Genomic DNA, 18,726 nt, shown 5'->3' with positions numbered 1-18,726 from the left:
AGTGGAATGGAAGGAAAGGAAGTCTCCCATCACCTGAGGTGGCATAAGCATGTAGCAGAAGCAGCCAAGGCTCAATGCTATGTGCTTTTACAGCTCAGGTCAGAGCGAGAAAATAGATGAGGAAATAATAAATGAAGTCCACTACCTGTAAAAATTGTGTCATGTCCCTAGAAAGGCCCTGGCCAAGCCACATCCTGGCACATGAGGTCCCATTCAAGGAGCTCCACTTTAAGGGGGACATTCAAAGACTAAAGAGTTACCAAAGGCTGGTCACCAGGACATCAGGGCATGCTGAGATCATTTCACAAAAGGAAGGGCTATGGGATCTGAAAGTGTTTACCTAGACTTGATTTGGTAAGGACATGAGAAGCAGAAAAAAACTTTAAAACGCATCTAGCCCAATGCTCACAATTCAGAAATCCCTAATACAATGTTCCTGATGAGGAATTACCCTGTGCTGCGTAAACTCTTCCAATGAAGGAGACCTCATTACTGTATAAGTGAGTTCATCTCATTATCATGTAGACAAGATTAAACTTTTCTCCTTCCTATTAACCGCAAATTAACCTCCTCCCGGCTTCTATCTATGCTCCGGGAGACATCAACTAAATCTAAACACTTTTCACTTGACCACCCTTCAGATAACTTGAGACAAACAGCTGGCATTGATGGCTTTCACAGAGATTTCTGGAAGTCTTCCCTGAGAGCAGGGCACATTTTCAGCATATCCCTGAAAGCACACTGCCCAGCCTGCTTCCACACTTGTTTCCTGGTGATCTCAGGCCAGCTTTGACCCCGCACGACCATGGGACACTGACTGCTATCCCCGCCTCAGGGCTTCTCATCCTGGCCATGCCTCGTAGCTCTATGTTTGCTTAACAACTAGGTTGTGGCCTCCTGCCTCACTTTAGGCGAACTCTGGTCCATCTCTTGGTCTCATCTTTGCAGCTCTGCCCAGTGCTAAGGGCCTGTCATGAACACACTCCATGGTGAGGCCTAAAAATCAGAGTCCCAAATTCATGCCACTTAATGTAAAGCACCGGTCATTTGACTTTAAGCCTAATAATGATTGAAGTTAGACTGTTCAATGGGCATTAAATATTATCTTTTCTAACATTTCATTTGAGAGATGAGGAAATAAGAGTCCAGAGAGATCAACTGATTCATTTGGAGTAACATAGCTGAGAAGATAAACATGAGCTCTAATCTTATTTTCCAGCCCCATATTCTTTCTGTAGTTAAAAGGAAGTAAGGTTACATTATGCCTCTCTTCTGAGTATATTTTCCATAGTTTGTGTGGATGTGCATTCATTCTTTATTTGACTCAACAGAAACTCACTAAGCACCTACTATGTGCTTTGTAAATATTCTCAGTAAGATTTGAAGTAAGCTGCCCATTGGGATCTATGTCTTGGTGTGTGTTCATGCAATGTGGTGAAAGGTGTGTGTGAATTGATTCTTGTATAGCCAGGCACAGCAGCTCATACCTGTAATCCCCACATTTTGGGAGGCCAAAGCAGGAAGATTGCTTGAGGCCAGGAGTTTGAGACCAGACTGGGCAACATAGCAAGACACCCCATCTCTAAAAATAATAATTCTTCCATGCATTCATTCAACAGCAATAGCAATAACTGACAACTCTTAAAACTATGCTATACACTGCTGCAAGTAAAAACACATCATAGTCCTTTAGCTTAGGGCATTTTCTGTCTAGGAGACAATTCTGAAGTACTTTGTTCATGTGACAAAGACAAATCCAGTGTTCTGTGGGACACAAAGCCAGATGCCTAATCAAGATTGGCAGGAATGATGGTGGCAAGTGTCCATAACTGTGATGGGGGGACAAAGATGCAGGTCCTGGAGAACTCCAAACACCTCATGGAAACATGAGCTTCAGAGCTAAATCTTGAAGGCTGATATGCTCAGGCAGAACAGAGTGCACAGAGCTGAGTGTGTGTGCAAAGACAGGGAGGCAGGAGAGAGCCTGACTGCAGGGAGACAGCCAAGCTGGAGCCAGGAGTTAATGCAGGTGACACAGGGAGAGAACTACAGGCAAGTGAGGTCGAAGAAGCCATTCTGTCTCACGATAGAGCTTGATTTTATCCAAAAGAAAATGAGGATGCAGTGAAAAGACTTAAAAGAGACAATAAACAGGGTCAAATCAGAATTTTAGAAAGAGTGAAGGACAGACCGGAAGATGGCAAGGCCAATGGCAAGAATGTCAGATAGGAGGCTATGGCAGGAACTCAGGTAAGACATGAGGGTTGAAACCTGACAACTCTGCCCCTACACATTTATTTTTTAAGTATGAAATATAAGAGGAGAGAAAGAATTGTTTTTCATATACATATCCCACAGCATGGGGAAATTTCCCCAAAGCTTTGCAGAACTGCAACATCACCCTCATCATTCTCCACAGTGACTTGGTGGCCCCAGAAAGTAATGTCAGCCTTAGCATCATGACCAATTGTGATATGTAGGTACCTGAAACAGAGCAGCTGCTCATTAAGTGGGGGCTGAATGCCTGAGCCACATACATCACAAAGGGGTGGAGGTAGAGAAGTCCTAAACAAAGTGAGGTCAGTGCTGGGAAGGACTGAGAAGTCAAGTCCAAGCAAAGTAACAAATCAGAAGACAAACAGAAAAGTTCCAGGAAGGATAAGGTTAAAGGAACTAGGTGATACATAGCCATGGAGAGTGAGGAGCACAGGCAGATGAGGAAACCACTAAAGGAGCCAGCGCCTGTCTGGTGAGGAGATTCTGTGTCTCCGTCTCCAAAGGCAGAGAGTGACTGAGGCAGCCCTCGAAAGAATCATGGAAAGATGGCCCCTCTGGTTAGACAGACAGCAAGCCAGCCGCTAGGGGCAGGAGTTTGTAGCAGGGACACATGTCTGGCCGGGGTCTGTGCGCGCCCGTGTGGTTGCACACATGTGAGCAGTTAAGTCAGAACATCTGGCAGAGATGGGAATATGTGGGTGCAGAGGAGGCCAATACCGACAAGCAGGGGCTGTTGAAAGCTGGCGAAACCCCATCACATGTGTTATAAAGCCATTCTCACTTGGAGTTTATAGTCAGGTGATTGATAAAGATGATGTCAGATGCCTAAAACAACAATTTCCTGCCTTACCGAATAAAAATGTTGACCTAGGCAAGTCCAAGCCTATCAGACAATTCCCAGGAAAGCCTGATCACATTTTTTTAAACAAGGTAATTTTTTCTGAAAATCAGGAGCACCTGACCACCAGTGTGCTGCTGAGAATGACCTCAATTAGGCACCCTCTGCTGAAACCAAGACTAACAAGAGTCACCGGGAGTTTCACAAAATGTATAAGGCTCTGCCTCAAGCCACAAATGAGCAACAGGCCTGGAGCTACACTAGGAGGGATTCCTGGTTGCAAAGGATTGAGATTAAAATTTTTCTCTACGTTCGTGTTAACATTAAACCAATGCCAACAAAAACAAGGTTTGTAGCATCAAACCTTATGGCCGGGCTCAGTGGCTCACGCCTGTAATCCCAGCACTTTGGGAGGCCAAGGCAGGTGGATCACTTGAGGTCAGGAGTTCAAGACAAGCCTGGCCAGCACGGTGAAACCCCTGTTTCTACGAAAAATACAAAAACTAGCCAGGCATGGTGGTGGGTGCCTGTAATCCCAGCTACTCGGGAGGCTGAAGCAGGAGGATCGCTTGAACCTGGGAGGCAGAGGTTGCAGTGAGCCAAGATCATGCCATTTCACTGCAGCCTAAGCAACAGAGCAAGACTCTGTCTCAAAAAAACAAAACAAAACAAAAAACGAAAACAAACCAAAAAAACTTATGGCCTTATCATCCCTCCAAACTGTCCCTGAATATGAGTTACCATAAGCTAGGAAGAAAATATTCAAAGGTATAAACAGAGGCCAATGTGTCAGCCCTTTCTCTGAATTTCTGGGCCATAGCTGTTTTAAATTAGATCATCAATGCTCAATTTCTCATGAAACTCCTGACTTAGCTCTGCAATGGAAAAGCTATTTTTGTGCTCTGAGCCACAGATATTTACATGAAGGCAAATCCATAATTCCAATTACGTTTTATTTTCATGATAGTCTTTTCCTCTCCTTAAGAAGTCATGATCAGAGGTCTAGACAGACAGACACACACACACACACAAAATCCAGAGAAGAAAAAAAAGAATAGTCATAGCTATCATCATTATTATTATTTCTGATGAGATACTTGCAAAAAGCAACATGTTCTGAGCCAAATACAGATTCCACAGGGCCCAGATAAATGACTGTTGTGAAACAGGCAGATTTTAGGTCTTGTAAAATTCTCAAAAAAATACCTTCAGTTCTTCTATCTCCTCCAGCCACCCCTTTGGTGATTCCCTACCCCCACCTACTCCTCAATCACTTGGGGACTTCATGATCCCTCCTGGGAAAACCTAGTCCCAGAAGTGGATCTAGCTTATATTTACATGTTACATAGTCTCTCTGGGGTCTTTTCATTTAAAATGTTATCGTTGTCGGGAGTGGTGGCTCACGCCTGTAATCCCAAAACTTTGAGGGGCTGAGGCAGGCGGATCACCTGAGGCTAGGAGTTCAAAACCAGCCTGGTCAACATGGAGAAACCCCATCTCTACTAAAAATACAAACATTAGCTAGGCATGGTGGTGTATGCCTATAGTCCCAGCTACTTGGGAGGCTGAGCCAGGAAAATTGCTTGAACCCAGGAGGCAAAGGTTGCAGTGAGCCGAGATCCCACCACTGCACTCCAGCCTGGGTGATAGAGCAAGACTCCAGCTCAAAAAAAAAAAAAAAAAAAAGTTATCTTTAAAAATGAAATAAAGAGTTTTTATCTCCTAAAAGGCAGGAGCATTAACAAATAAGGCAAAGAGATATTTCTGGTTAAGAGGGACATGGTTCTTAAGTAACAACATAGCTACTCTACAGAAAGATCCAACAATAGGCTGGGAGGGCTATAACAGCTGGTACAGAAGCAAAATAAACTGGCTGTCCAAAAAGTTTCAGGAAATTCGCCCAAAATAAATCTAAATTGATTACCAAAAATATCAAGATATGGCCGGGTGCAATGGTTCACACATGTAATCCCAGCACTTTGGGAGGCCGAGGCAGGCGGATCACCTGACGTCAGGAGTTTGAGATCAGCCTGGCCAACATGGTGAAACCCCATCTCTACTAGAAATACAAAAATTAGCTGGGCATGGTAGCAGGTGCCTGTAATCCCAGCTACTCAGGAGGCTGAAGCAGGAGAATCGCTTAAACCCAGGAAGCAGAGGTTACAGTGAGTGGAGATCATGCCACTGCACTCCAGCCTGGGCAATAAAGTGAGACTCTATCTCAAAAAAAAAAAAAAAAAAAAAGTCAAGATATTAGGAGTAACCACGGCCACTCCCCAAAAGTGTCTCTGATTAGACCTTCTTTTTTTTTTGAGACAGAGTCTCACTCTGTTGTCCAGGCGGGAGTGCCTTGGTGCAATATTGGCTCACTGCAACCTCAACCTCCCCGGCTCAAGCAATCCTTGTGCCTCAGCCTCCTGAGTAGCTGGGATTACACGCATGTGCCACCACGTCTGGCTAATTTTTGTATTTTTGTAGAGATGGGGTTTTGCCATGTTGGCCAGGCTGGTCTTGAGCTCCTGGCCTCAAGTGATCCACCCACCTCGGCCTCCCAAAGTGCTGGAATTATAGGCTTGAGCCACCATGCCTAGCCTGATTAGACCTCCTGAAGCACAATTCTACTTTGAAAGAATAAGAATAGGAGAGTGGAGATAATGGGAGGAAACTAACATTTGTGAGCATTAACATAATGCTTATAATAAGGTTATATTATTTCCAGTTATCTCACTTGATCTTCAGAACAACCTTTTGAGGTGGATTTTGTTATTACTGTTTTATAAAGAAGACAATTTAGACTCAGAGGTGTTAAGTAACTTGCCAAAGGCCACATATCTAATTAGTGGCAAAGCTTAGATTCAAACCCAGATCTGCTTGACTCCAAAGCCCATTTCTTTCCCATTGTCACTGATAGAAGGACACTGATAAAGCTCTTAAAAGGGCCAGAGGAGAAGGCCAATGACTATGGGGAAAATATCTTTGTGTAGACTGCTTTCAGCATTATAAATAGGCTCCACTGATATGGATCAACATTCCCAGAGATGGAATCAGCCACAAGTAAAGAATCAATTGCTCACTGTAAACCTCTGCACTGTTAGAGACACACGTACACATGCATGCCCAGCAGAAACAGAACATCGTCTTCATATCCAAGGACAACAGGAACTTTTCCACATGTTTTTTCTTTTCAACATAGATGTGAGTTAAGATGCTAGTTGAGCATGAGGTTTTGATCTACTATAGAGAATCTAAAGGACAGCATTTAGGGACTGGAGCAGCATGGTTGGGAAATTCAGATCTTTTCTGGACTGAAAACATTGGCCAGATGAGAGTGAGACACCGCAGTAAGCGTGCAGGGTTCCAGATGGTGGCAGTGGCACACGGTATTATTTATTCAGACCTCTTCTCTCCCGCATTCTCTTAGTAGCAGGAGATTTCACATGCAGGAGCCAATGTACATGTATTTACTTTGCTGTATTCTGTTTTTTTGTGTGGTTTTTTTTTTTTTTTTTTTTTTTTGAGACGAAGTTTCACTCTTGTCACCCAGGATGGAGTGCAATGGTGCAATCTCGGCTCACTATAACCTCCATCTCCTAGGTTCAAGTGATTCTCCTGCCTCAGCCTCCCAAGTAGCTGGGACTACAGGCGTGCACCACCATGCCCGACTAATTTTGTATTTTTTTTTTTTTTTTTTTTTAGTAGAGATGGGGTTTCACCATGTTGGTCAGGCTGGTTTTGAACTCTTGATGTCAAGTGATCCGCCTGCCTCAGCCTCCCAGAGTGCTGGGATTACAGGTGTGAGCCACTGCACCCGGCCGACTTCGCTGTATTCTATTTTACATATAAGAAAATAATTTTTTTTTTTTGAGATGGAGTCTCACACTGTCTCCCAGGCTGGGATGCAGTAGCAGGATCTCAGCTCACTTCAACCTCCGCCCCAGCTTAGGTTCAAGTGACTGTCCTGCCTCAGCCTCCTGAGTGCTGGGATTATAGTCATACAACACCATGCCCAGCTAATTTTTGTATTTTTAGTAGAGACAGGGTTTCACCATGTTGGCCAGGCTGGTCTTGAACTCCCCAACCTCAAGCTATCTGCCCGCCTCAGCCTCCCAAAGTTCTGGGATTACAGGCGTGAGCCACTGTGCCCGGCCCAAAATAAACTTTTAAATTAGGAGTTAATTTAATTAAGTTAATTAGGAGTTAAGAACCTCAGTCAGTATGACGGATTGGGTAGAAATATCCCTCTGTATAGGAAAAACTCTCTAACCATGTTTTTCCTCCACTCTCACACCATAATAATCACCAACACAGAAGACTTCTTGTGACCAAATGTGTGGGGGCTTTTTCCAAATACACCAAGCAACAGACACCAGCTGGGTGTCCTCTAATGAACTATCTACTCTGAGATAGTGTCAGATCCCATAGGCTGAGGGCTAGTTCCCAAGACTGCCCCTCCCCACATGCCAGTCACAAGTCTGAGCCTCAGGAACTTCTGACTGACCCACTTCAAGTTGAGGCTCAAGAGCGCCGTCTTTGGGTTCAGCGAATTTGCTGGAGCAGCTCACAGAACTCAGGGAAAGTTACTTAGGTTTACTGGTTTACTATAAAGAATACTGCGAAAGATACAGATAAGCGGATGTGTAGGGCAGTATGAGGAAAGGGGCACAGCCCTTCCATGCTCTGCCTGGGTGCACCATCCTCCAGGAACCTCCCTGTGTTCAGCTATTCAGAAGCTCCATCAACCCGGTCCTCCTGGGTTTTTATGGAAGCTTCACAATGTCAGCATTCCTTCCTCCAGGGCATTGGGTGCATCAACACTCTCACAGGCGGAACATTAGAGTCCTGCCTTGGGGTAAGTGAAAGGAGGGCAGAAGGTCAGAGGGCTGCCTCTGAGGCCTAACACACCCAGTATTATAACAACAAAAACTGTAACAAGGGCTGTGGGGTGTTATGAGCCAGGAACCATGGATAAAAACTAGTATATATCATAACACCACATCCTCCCATCCAAACACTTCAAAACACTGAACAAAAATATGATAACAAAAATATCATCTAAAACCTAGATAAAGTAGAAATCTCCAGGTACCAGAAACAGAGGGAAGTGGAAGTTAGGTCAATGTATGGAAGCTGAGGCCAAGGGGCTCATAGAGAAATCCACCGCAGCAAGAGGCCTAAATACCTGCGAGCTGGGGCTTTAATGACCATACATGCAGTGAGGGGGTCCAGGAGATGGTCACCTTACACCATGAGCTGTTAGTGAGGCACTTACAAAAAGCTGGAGGTCATAAAAAGCTGCTCCATATGTGAAATAGGTCTAGAGGAACATCATTTACTAACCTGAGAAAACAGCCAGAAACCTTGTCATCTGCTTGGGCAAAGAGTAGAAAATGAGTGGCCTATAAAATTTGAAATCAGGCGTGTAGTACATGCAAGAAATAAGGTTAAATGTATACAGTGGCTCACGCCTGTAATCCCAGCACTTTAGAAAGCTGAGGCCCATTGATCGTTTGAGCCCAGGAACTTTAGTTTCTACTAAAAATACAAAAATTAGCCTGGTGTGCTGGCATGCCCCTGTAGTCCCAGCTACTGAGGAGGCTGAGGCAGGAAGATCGCTTGAACCCAGGAGGCAGAGGTTGCAGTGAGCCAAGATCACACCACTGCACTCCAGCCTGGGTGACAGAGCGAGACTCCATCCCATCTCAAAAAAGAAAACATATATCATAACACCACACATGGGTTAAAACTTGCATGATGTAGCTAAAGCAGTATTTAGAGGTAAATTTATAGATTTAAATAAATTTACTGAAAAACAAAAAGTAAGCTAGGCATGAATTCAAGTAGCTAGAAACAGAAGAAATGTAGATAAAGGTAAAAATAATGAAAAACAAAAATATAGATAAGAACAAGCTGTTTATTTGAAAAGATTAAGTAGTAGACATCTATATTAATAAAGAAAAAGAGAGTTGGCACAAATAAACAATATTAAGAATAAAAAAAGGGCAAGGAGTGGTGGCTCATGCCTGTAATCCCAACACTTTCAAAGACTGAGGCAAGAGGATCACCTGAGGACAGGAGTTTCAGACCAGTCTGGTCAACATAGCAAGACCCCATCTCTACAAAAAATACAAAACTTTGCTGGGCATAGTGGTGCGCACCTGTAGTCTCAGCTACTAGGGAGGCTGAGGCAAGAGGATAGCTTGAGCCCAGGAGTTTGAGGCTGCAGTGAGCTATGATGGTGCCGCTGCACTCCAGCAGTGGGTGACACAGCAAGATCCCATCTCTAAAAAATCAATAAATAGGCCGAGAGCAGTGGCTCATCCCTATAATCCAAGTATTTTGGGAGGCCGCGGCAGGCGGATCACTTGAGGCCAGAAGTTCGAGACCAGCCTGGCCAACATGGCAAAACTGCATCTCTACAGAAAATATAAAAAAAAAAAAAAAAAAAAAAAAAATAGCTGGGTGTGGTGGCGCACACCTGTAATCCCAGCAACTCGGGAGGCTGAGGCAACAGAATTGTTTGAACCCTGGAAGTAGAGGTTGCAGTGAGCCGAGATCGCATGACTCACTCCAGCCTGGGCAACAGAGTGAGACTCTGTCTTAAATAAATAAATAAGAAATATAAGCTAGATTCTCAGCACCATAGGAAAGGTAATAAAAAAATTAAAAAACAAAAAAGATAGAGGCAATATTTATAAAACCCTAAGAGAAAATTACGAATAACTATGCTAAGAAGCCCAAGAACACATGAATGGATCATCTAAACTAAATTATCAAAACTGAATCAAGAAGGAATAGAAAGCCTAAATTCATCACTAATCATTTATGAAACTGAATCACCAAAAACTTGACCCATATGCCCTTTATAAGTGGTTCAGATGATTTCGTAATGAGTTTTACCAAATTTTAAGAAACAGATAATCTTTATCTCTTACAAACTAGTTAAGAAAAACATATATGCCAGCCAGGCACGGTGGCTCATGCCTGTAATCCCAGCACTTTGGGAGGCCGAGGAGGGGATATCATGAGAGCAGGAGTTCAAGACCATCCTGGCTAACACGGTGAAATTCCATCTCTACTAAAAATACAAAAAATTAGCTGGGCCCACGTGGTGGCGCGTGCCTGTAATCCCAGCTACTAAGGAGGCTGAGGCAGGAGAATTGCTTGAACCCGGGAGTCGGAGGTTGCAGTGAGCCAAGATCATGCCACCGCACTCTAGCCTGGGAAACAGGAAGACTCTGTCTCGAAAAAAAAAAGATAAAGAAAGACATATACTTATGATTACTTTATAGGGCCAATACAAGCTTGATACCAAACAATATAAGAACAATTTCCTTTTTTTTTCCTTTTTTTTTCTTTTTTTTTTTTTGAGATGAAGTCTTGCTCTGTCGCCCAGTCTGGAGGGCAGTGGTGCAATCTCAGCACACTGCAATCTCCACCTCCCGGGTTCAAGTGATTTTCGTGCCTCAGCCTCCCGAGTAGCTGGGATTACAGGTGCATGTCACCACGCCCAGCTAATTTTTGGCATTTTTAGTAGAGATAGGGTTTCGCCATGTTGGCCAGGCTGGTCTTGAACTCCTGACCTCAGTTGATCAGCTCGCCTCGGCCTCCCAAAGGGCTGGAATTACAGGCATGAGCCACCACACCCAGCCAGACCAATATTTTAAAAAGAAAATTCTAGAACAACTTCACTTATGAACATTTGCAAAAATCCAAAGTAAAATACTAGCAACCGATACCCTACAGAATAATATACCTGTATATGTATATTTATGTACATGTTTCAACACAATTAATACGCTCATCTTATCACAATGTAATATCAAGAAAAAATGATCATCTCATATAGTTATGAAAAAGACATTAAAGCATTAAGTAAAATATATACTGTCATGATATAATTTTTACCTTGTTAAAAAATATTAAGAATAGAGCAAAGTTCTTAGTTTAATAAAGACTATCTACTGAAACCTTAAGCAAACTTCACGCTTAATGGAGAAACTTTAAGAGCAGTTAAAGTTAAAGACAGTAAGAAGACAAGGCAAGGGTGCCTGTCATCACAGTTCTATTGAACACTGTACTGGACCATCTACCCCAATGCAGTATGGTAAGAAAAAGATGTAGGAGTCACAGAAATGGAAAAGATAAATTATCGTTGTTTTATGATTGTCTATATAGAAAATTCAAGAATTATCTATATGCAGACTATTAGAACTAATAAGAGAATCAGCTGGGATGCTGGGTAAAAAAACAAAATTCAAAAATCAGCAATGTTTCTTTCTATGGGCCAGCAAGTAAACTAGAGAATATACTAGGACAAAAGATATTGTTTAAAATATCAACCAAATCTATAAGATATAAATACAGCAAAAGTTGTAGAAGACATTTATAGGGGAAATCACCAGTAATCATTCACCTGAATAAAAGGAGAAGATAGGAAAAGCCAGCACTGTAAAGATGTCAGTATTAATTGAATGCAATTTCAAAGAGAATCTCAACAGGATTTTCTGTGTGTGTGCAACTAGACAAACTAACGTTTATATAAATTGGTCAAATCCAAGATGGCCCAGAAATTCTGAAAAAATAAAAAAGTAATAATAGCTAACAATTTTTGCGTTCTTCCTTATATAGCAGGTACTATTCTAACTTTTTTTTTTTTTTTTTTTTTTTTAAGATGGCATCTCACTCTGTCACCCAGGCTGGAGTGCAATGGCACGATCTCAGCTCACTGCAACCTCCGCCTCCCAGGTTCAAGCTATTCTCCTGCATCAACCTCCCGAGTAGCTGGGATTATAGGCACCCACCACCACACTCGGCTAATTTTTGTATTTTTAGTAAAGATGGGGTTTTACCATGTTGGCCAGGCTGGTCTCGAACTTTTAACCTCAGGTGATCTGCCCACCTTGGCCTCCCAAAGTGCTGGGATTACAAGCGTGAGCCACCACACCTGGCGTATTCTGACATTTTCATGCACTATCTCTTCACAGTATCTTTGTAATAGATACTATCATTATTTATATTTCATAGATGAGGAGACTGAGAGAACTTGGCAACTTGCCCAAGGTCACACAGCTCACTGGGTAATCACAAATCCTCACAAATTTGGTTTTTAGGTTTTTTGATTTATTTTTTGAGACAGAGTGTCGCTCTGTCACCCAGGCTGGAGTGCAGTGGCCTGATCTCAGCTCATTGGAACCTCTGCCTCCCCAGCTCAAGTGATCCTCCCATCTCAGCCTCCCAAGTAGCTGGGACCACAGGGCACACCACCATGCCCAGCTAATTTTTATATTTTTTGTAGAGGCAGGGTCTCATCCTTGTTGCCCAGGCTGTTCTCAAACTCCTGAGCTCAAGCGATCAGCCCGCCTCAGCCTCCCAAAGTGCTGGGATTACAGGCATGAACCACCGTGCCCAGCTACACAAATTTGTGTAATCACAAATGCTCACTGACTGCTGGGTAGGATAAAATTTTCTAAATCCATACCTAGACATACCTGTGGAACATTTTAGAGAAAATTTTAAAAGCTACCAGGGAGAAGGCAGATTATAATAAAATGACAATCATTTGTGATCAGACTTCTTGTCCTGACCTCAGGTGATCCCCCCACGTCGGCCTCCCAAAGTGCTGAGATTACAGGCATGAGCCACTGCGCCCAGCTGAAAGCCTTCTTCTTAAGGCATGTTTGTTATGTGATGGGCCAGGGGCTCTAAGAATGCTGATCCTTCTGGGGATCTCAAGGTACCTTCCACAAAGAGAATGGATGAGTGATCCCAGGAGCTGCTTGCCTGTGAGGGGACATGGTAGTACAGGATGTGGGCATTTTTTCCCAGAGCTCTCCCCAGAATCACTCACACTAAATATTTCCACCTCACCCAATCAGTCAAACTCACCAATGCATGGGATCACCCACATAGGCAAGCTTTCGAAAGATAATTTATTGTTGTGTGTTCATAGTAATAAGCATCCAGCAATGAGGTTTTTTTTTTCTCTTTCTTATTCCATGGTAAACCCTTTATTTCCCCTGGCATTCCATGTAACACACAGGTACATTTGAGCCTCGGTGCTTTCCCTGGGTCTTTCTACCTATCACACTCTCCTGACGCTGCAAAGAATGATGACACCCTGTAATCTGCAGAGCTCTGAAGACATAATTTGCCTGATCTACTTTAAAAATCTTGCCCTGTACTGAGGACTGCTCCAGAATCCCATAAGGTACCTGGAATTCCAGGCTGGCCAGGAAGCCTCCATGGAATTCGGGATTCTTCTTGTGAGTGGAGCTGGTTTGCAAGGAAGGGGTGAGCTACCTCTAAATCTGGAGCAGTTACCAAAGACTTCTAAAGAGAAGTGACTGGCGGAGCTGGAAGAGATGGGAGGCATTTTCCATTTTACGTATCAGTGTGTTTTTGTTTTTGTTTTTCTCCCTCCTCACCCCCTCTTAGGAGACAGGGTCTCGCTCTGTTGCCGAGGCTGGAGTGCAGTAGCGTGACATAGCTCACTGAAGCCTCCATCTCCTAGGCTCAGGTGATCCTCCCAGCTCAGCCTCCTGAGTACTTGGGACTCAGGCATGTGCAACCATGCCTGACTAATTTGTGCCACTTAGTCTTCAACCCCTGGGCTCAAGTGATCCTTCCACCTCAGCCTCCCAAAGTGCTGAGATTATAGGCATGAGCCACTGTGCCCATCAGTTCTTACTAAAGCATGAAACATTTTCCCTTTCCTTTTCTACTTATTCCTTATAATTAAAATAATAATAATACATGTGCAGGGAGATGGTAGACAGTAGTGACAGAGATGCATAGACTTTAGCCACCGACCTGAATTCAACACTTGATTCCAGCACTTAGTGGCTGTGTGACCATGGATGAGTTACCCTTCTGGTTCTAGTTTCTGAAACTCCATAATGAAAATAATAGTAATATTTACCTCAAAGAGTTTTCGAATAAAATACCATATGTAAGTGCTTAGTTCTCAGTAAATGTTAGCTATTATTACTATAAAAGTTGAGAAATACAAGTACAAAGAAAATTTAAAAACAGCTATACTCTCACCATCCATTTTGATGCACATAATTCCAGTATTTTCTCGATGTATTTTCAAAGAGTAAAATTATAGTGCTTTCCATTTTATAACTTGCTTTCAAAAATTAACCCCAGGCCAGGCACAGTGGCTCACACCTATAATCCTGACACTTTGGGAGGCTGAGGCTGGCGGATCACCTGAGATCAGGAGTTCGAAACCAGCCTGACCAACATGGAGAAACCCCATCTCTACTAAAAATACAAAATTAGCCAGGCATGGTGGCACATGCCTGTAATCCCAGGTACTCGGGTGGCTGAGGCAGGAGAATCGCTTGAACCCAGGAGGTGGAGGTTGCGATAAGCTGAGATCACGCCATTGCACTCCAGCCTGGGCAACGAGAGCAAAACTTTGTCTCAAAAAAAAAAAAAAAAAAAGTCCTGTGTAATTCAACATTCTTATACAACATGATTTTAAAAGGTCACAGAGTATTCCTTTGGGTTATTTTACATCTTTTATCTCTTTTTTTTTTTTTTTTTTTTGAGACGGAGTTTTGCTCTTGTTGCCCAGGCTCCAGTGCAGTGGCACAATCTTGGCTCCCTGCAACCTGCTTCAGCCTCCCGAGTAGCTGACATTATAGGTGCCTGCCACCACACCCAGCTAATTTTCTATATTTTTAGTAGAGACAGGTTTTCATCATGTTGGCCAGGCTGGTATCGAACTTCTGACCTCAGGCGATCCACCTGCCGTGGCCTCCCAAAATGTTGGGATTACAGGTATGAGCCACTGAACCTGGCCTACATCTTTTTTTTTCTTTTCTTTTCTGAGACGGAGTCTCGCTCTGTCGCCCAGGCTGAAGTGCAGTGGTGCAGTCGGCTCACTGCAACCTCCGCCTCCCAGGTTCAAGTGATTCTCCTGCCTCAGCCTCCCGAGTAGGTGGGATTATAGGTGCCCGCCACCATGCCCACCTAATTTTTGTGTTTTTAGTAGAGACGGGGTTTCACTATGTTGGCCAGGCTGGTCTGGAACTCCTGACTTCATGATCTGCCTGCCTTGGCCTCCCCAAGTGCTGGGATTACAAGCGGAAGCCACCGCGCCCGGCCCATCTTTTTTTTTAAGAGATGGGGTCTCACTTTGTTGCCCAGTCTGGTCTTAACTCCTAGCCTCAAGTGATCCTCTGGCCTCCACTTCCCACAGTGCTAGGGTTACAGGCATGAATCACCACACCTAGCACTTCACAGGCATGAGCCACTGTGCCTGGCCTTTTCCTTTTTTATTTATTTGTATCATTTTGCTTCTTAACCACCTCTGCCTTCCTTGCTCTCCACTGGTCCCACACTTCATGTATTGATATTTCCAACTCATCTGACCTGTCCAGGTGATCAGTGGCTGCTTTCTGTGGCTGTCTGGGGATGTAGCCTTCATCTCACCATCCAGACCACCTGCTCCTTAGGTCCAGGCCCCCGTGGCCTTCATTACAACCCCAGCCTCTCCTCGGGCTGCTGGGCAGACTCTTGTACCCGTGGCAAACCATCCAGTCTAACAATATTTCATGAGATAGTGCAAAAGCTGGACAAGGCAGAAAGGCAACTTTTCTGTAAACAGTATAAGGTTGACTTACAGGATATTAAATGCACTATTAAAAATTCTCAGGAAGAGGAAGAGACTGAAGATTTTTATCTGAGCACAGTACATTGTTTTTCTAAGCAACAGGGCCAAACAAGCTCAGAATTTATGGACTTACTTTTGTTGTTTTTTTTTTTTTTTGGACTTACTTTTTGAATGGAAGTCACAGTCACAACACTTGCCTATCAATTATTTATTTATTTATTTATTTATTTATTTATTTATTTATTTAGACAGAGTCTTGCTGTGTCGCCCAGGATGGAGTGCAGTGGTGTAATCTCGGCTCACTGCAACCTCCGCCTCCCAGGTTCAAACGATTCTTCCGCCTCAACCTCCCAAGTAGCTGGGAATTACAGGTTCCCGCCACCTGGCCCAGCTAGCTTTTGTATTTTTAATAGAGACGGGGTTTCATCAGGTTGGCCAGGCTGGTCTCGAACTCCTGACCTCAAGTGATCTGCCCGCCCCGGCCTCCCAAAATGCTGGGATTATAGGCATGAACCCCGTGCCCTGCCTTAATGATGTTGTGCCCTGCCTTAATGATGTTTTGAGACCACAATAAAACCTAACTGATTCATACCAATGGGGAACTGTCAAACTGCATCAGTGGAGAGAAGTGAATTACATCCTTTTTAACATAAACTCTTTTATTTCCAGTAGAATTCAAATAAAATAAAATCTTTATTTCCAAATGGTTCAATACTTGGACCTGTTTTTTAAGGGGTTGTTCAGAATCTGATCTACTACATTTGTTACAACCACATTTATTGTTTGTATGGAAACAGGAATGGCTAAAGTTTTGAGAAGTGTGTTCTTCCTAAAAACGTAAAACATTCAACATCCCCCAGCAACCATGCTCACACAGTTCGCTCCTTGGTAGAGCTTTTTCTTCCCAGATCATGTGGAAGAAAACCCCAGCTCAGGCTGCTCCCGGCTGCTCTGGTTCTGAGTGAGTGTGCAGAGGTTTGCAATATCAGCCCAGGTCAAGCCCTGAAAAATCTCTCCAGACTCCAGACTTGATCTGTCCAGACCCATCCGAGAATTAACAGGCTCCCCATCGTGCCCACAGAAGCAAGACTGTCATGGAAACACTGATTCAACCATAATAACTACTGACAGAAAAACCACACAAATGAACTAAACAATTCTTCCACCCAATCAGAGTCCAGGGGAGTCCATAGCCTCAGGATTAAAATAAGTAGGGCTGTTTTTATTATGTGGTCCAGCTCGTTTGAGCCTCTCCCATTGCCTTGTTTTCACAGCTCCCTTTTATGAGAAAGAAAGTGGGGGTGGGGGAGTTGGGAGGGAGACTAGAGCTATGCAGACGGGAATGCCAGGCTGGGAATACCAACAAACAGTGTGCTGCATGTCAGGCAAATTAAAACTTCTAGCCTGGAGGAGGCTGTAATCGTGTTTGCGGTTAGTCTGAAAACAAGCTACACTGAACTTCTATCTCCCAGGAAAACAGTCGAGTGTGGACTGAAGTCAAAAATGAGTATTTTTAGCAAGCATTCTCTCTCTTCCGTTTATTTTCTTCCTTCTTCTGTCTTTAGATATTAGAAACGCTAATTACATGAAGTATCATTATTATTCGAAGAAAGCACAGTTAGAAGGGTTAAAAATAAAAAGATGCCAAACCAACAGAAGCAGTACAATCCTAAGGAGGAATATATTTTAATTTTTCCCTGTACCCACGAGGTTCAGTTTGTGGGTCCAAGGGACCCAACCCCAATACCCAGTGAATGGTCATACCTGCAGGAAATATTTGGGCCAGTGTGGTGGCCCCCGCGGCTGTGGCCCCGTGGCCTGGCTCCTTGCCTTCCAGGGCAGGAGGGGACTCCGGGCTGCAGGCACAGGCTAAGGTCCGAGCTGAGGTACCAGGGAGCGGGGAGGGACAACAGCCCAAATAACAGCAGTCAGAAGGAGGAGGGAGTCCGGGAGCGGGAGAGAGACACAGAGACCCCGAGGGAGGCGTGAGGGGCGCAGAGCTGGTGGCCCGGGTCCGAGAGGTCGAGGGGCCGCGCGCGGGTGAGAACGAGCCCCGGCCCCCGCCCTCGGAACTGAGTCGATATTCCTTTTTTTGCTGTTTGAGTTTTCTCTTTAGAGTCGGACCCCGGTCCCAGCAGCAGTCTCAGAACAGAGGGGAGCCGAGGAGTCCCTGCCGGGAGGCCATCCCTCTGCGGGCCCCAGGGCGCCCCTGGGGGCGGCCAGGGCGGGCGCGGGGAGATGGGGAGGCGCCGAGCGGCCCTGGAGATGCCCGCGTCCCGGGGCGCCCGCAAACTTTCCCAGACACGGCGGGAGGCCCCACCCTGGAGAGGGGGGGTCCCAGGCCTCCCGTCTCTGTCCCCTGGGGCTGGTCACTCACCGGCAGCGCGGTTGGGGCTCCGATTCTGGCCGCAGCCAGCCACACCAGGAGGCGGAGGAAGAGGAGGGGGAGGAGGAGGGGGAGGAGGAGGGGGAGGAAGACCCGGGGCCGCCGAGTGGAGGGCGGGGAGGGGCGGCCGCGGCGCAGTGACTCCTCCCGCTCCCGCCCCCGCCCCCGCCCCTCCTCCCCTGCTGAGCCTCCCTTCTCTCTTCACGCCTTCTTTCTCACCCCGAATCCCCCAAAGTTTTTCTGGTGTCCGACGCTCCGTTCTCTTCCCTCCAGCGCATCTTCTGTCCCCGAGTCTCCAGCCTCCCAGAGGAGGGGAGAGCGCTCCCTCCTGCAAAAGTCGGGGGGCGGGGGCGGTAAGTCTATGAGTTACCTTTCGATGCCCTCTTGAAGCAGATAGCTTGGACCCGTGGAAGGTCTGAAGCCACCCAGCACCCCCAGACCTTGTCCTCACCTCTGGGTGGGGATGATGGAGGGCCTTTGCGGTCGTGCTTTCTAAGTTGCTTCATGGAGTTTTGTTTTGTTTTGTACCCCCCGCCTCACCCCACCCCCACCCCCCACCCCCCACCTTGTAATTAGGAGAACTAAAGAATTATATTTGAAAGG

The 18,726-nt window shown here is 45.0% G+C and overlaps 2 protein-coding genes across 3 annotated transcripts in view, besides 2 other annotated features; both read right to left on the bottom strand.

The window, feature by feature from the left end:
- Positions 1-18,177, bottom strand: part of STON1 (stonin 1) — a 68,360-nt gene extending 50,183 nt beyond the window's left edge. Inside the window, exons 1-2 of one of the 2 annotated variants that reach the window (NM_001198595.2) lie at positions 18,115-18,177; positions 17,502-17,618 (exon numbers count right to left, since the gene is read on the bottom strand). The gene's annotated coding sequence lies outside the window, so the exon portion shown is untranslated. The remainder of the gene's footprint in view (positions 1-17,501; positions 17,619-18,114) is intronic. The other variant, NM_006873.4, reaches the window with a different exon arrangement.
- STON1-GTF2A1L (STON1-GTF2A1L readthrough) overlaps positions 1-18,406 on the bottom strand; it is a 246,595-nt gene extending 228,189 nt beyond the window's left edge. Inside the window, exon 1 of the mRNA NM_001198593.2 lies at positions 18,343-18,406. The gene's annotated coding sequence lies outside the window, so the exon portion shown is untranslated. The remainder of the gene's footprint in view (positions 1-18,342) is intronic.
- Positions 17,637-18,184: an enhancer, noted in NCBI's record as "H3K4me1 hESC enhancer chr2:48757286-48757833 (GRCh37/hg19 assembly coordinates)". NCBI's record gives its function as "activates a minimal SCP1, AML or CMV promoter by ChIP-STARR-seq in primed H9 embryonic stem cells {active_cell/tissue: H9 hESC(primed)}" and the evidence as "EXISTENCE:reporter gene assay evidence [ECO:0000049][PMID:30033119]".
- Positions 17,846-18,045: a silencer, noted in NCBI's record as "silent region_11481". NCBI's record gives its function as "represses an Ori minimal core promoter by ATAC-STARR-seq in GM12878 lymphoblastoid cells {active_cell/tissue: GM12878}" and the evidence as "EXISTENCE:reporter gene assay evidence [ECO:0000049][PMID:35858748]".

This window comes from Homo sapiens, chromosome 2, assembly GCF_000001405.40.
Source record: "Homo sapiens chromosome 2, GRCh38.p14 Primary Assembly".
Classification (NCBI taxonomy): domain Eukaryota; kingdom Metazoa; phylum Chordata; class Mammalia; order Primates; family Hominidae; genus Homo; species Homo sapiens.
This window is presented reverse-complemented; position numbering and strand designations above follow the sequence as displayed.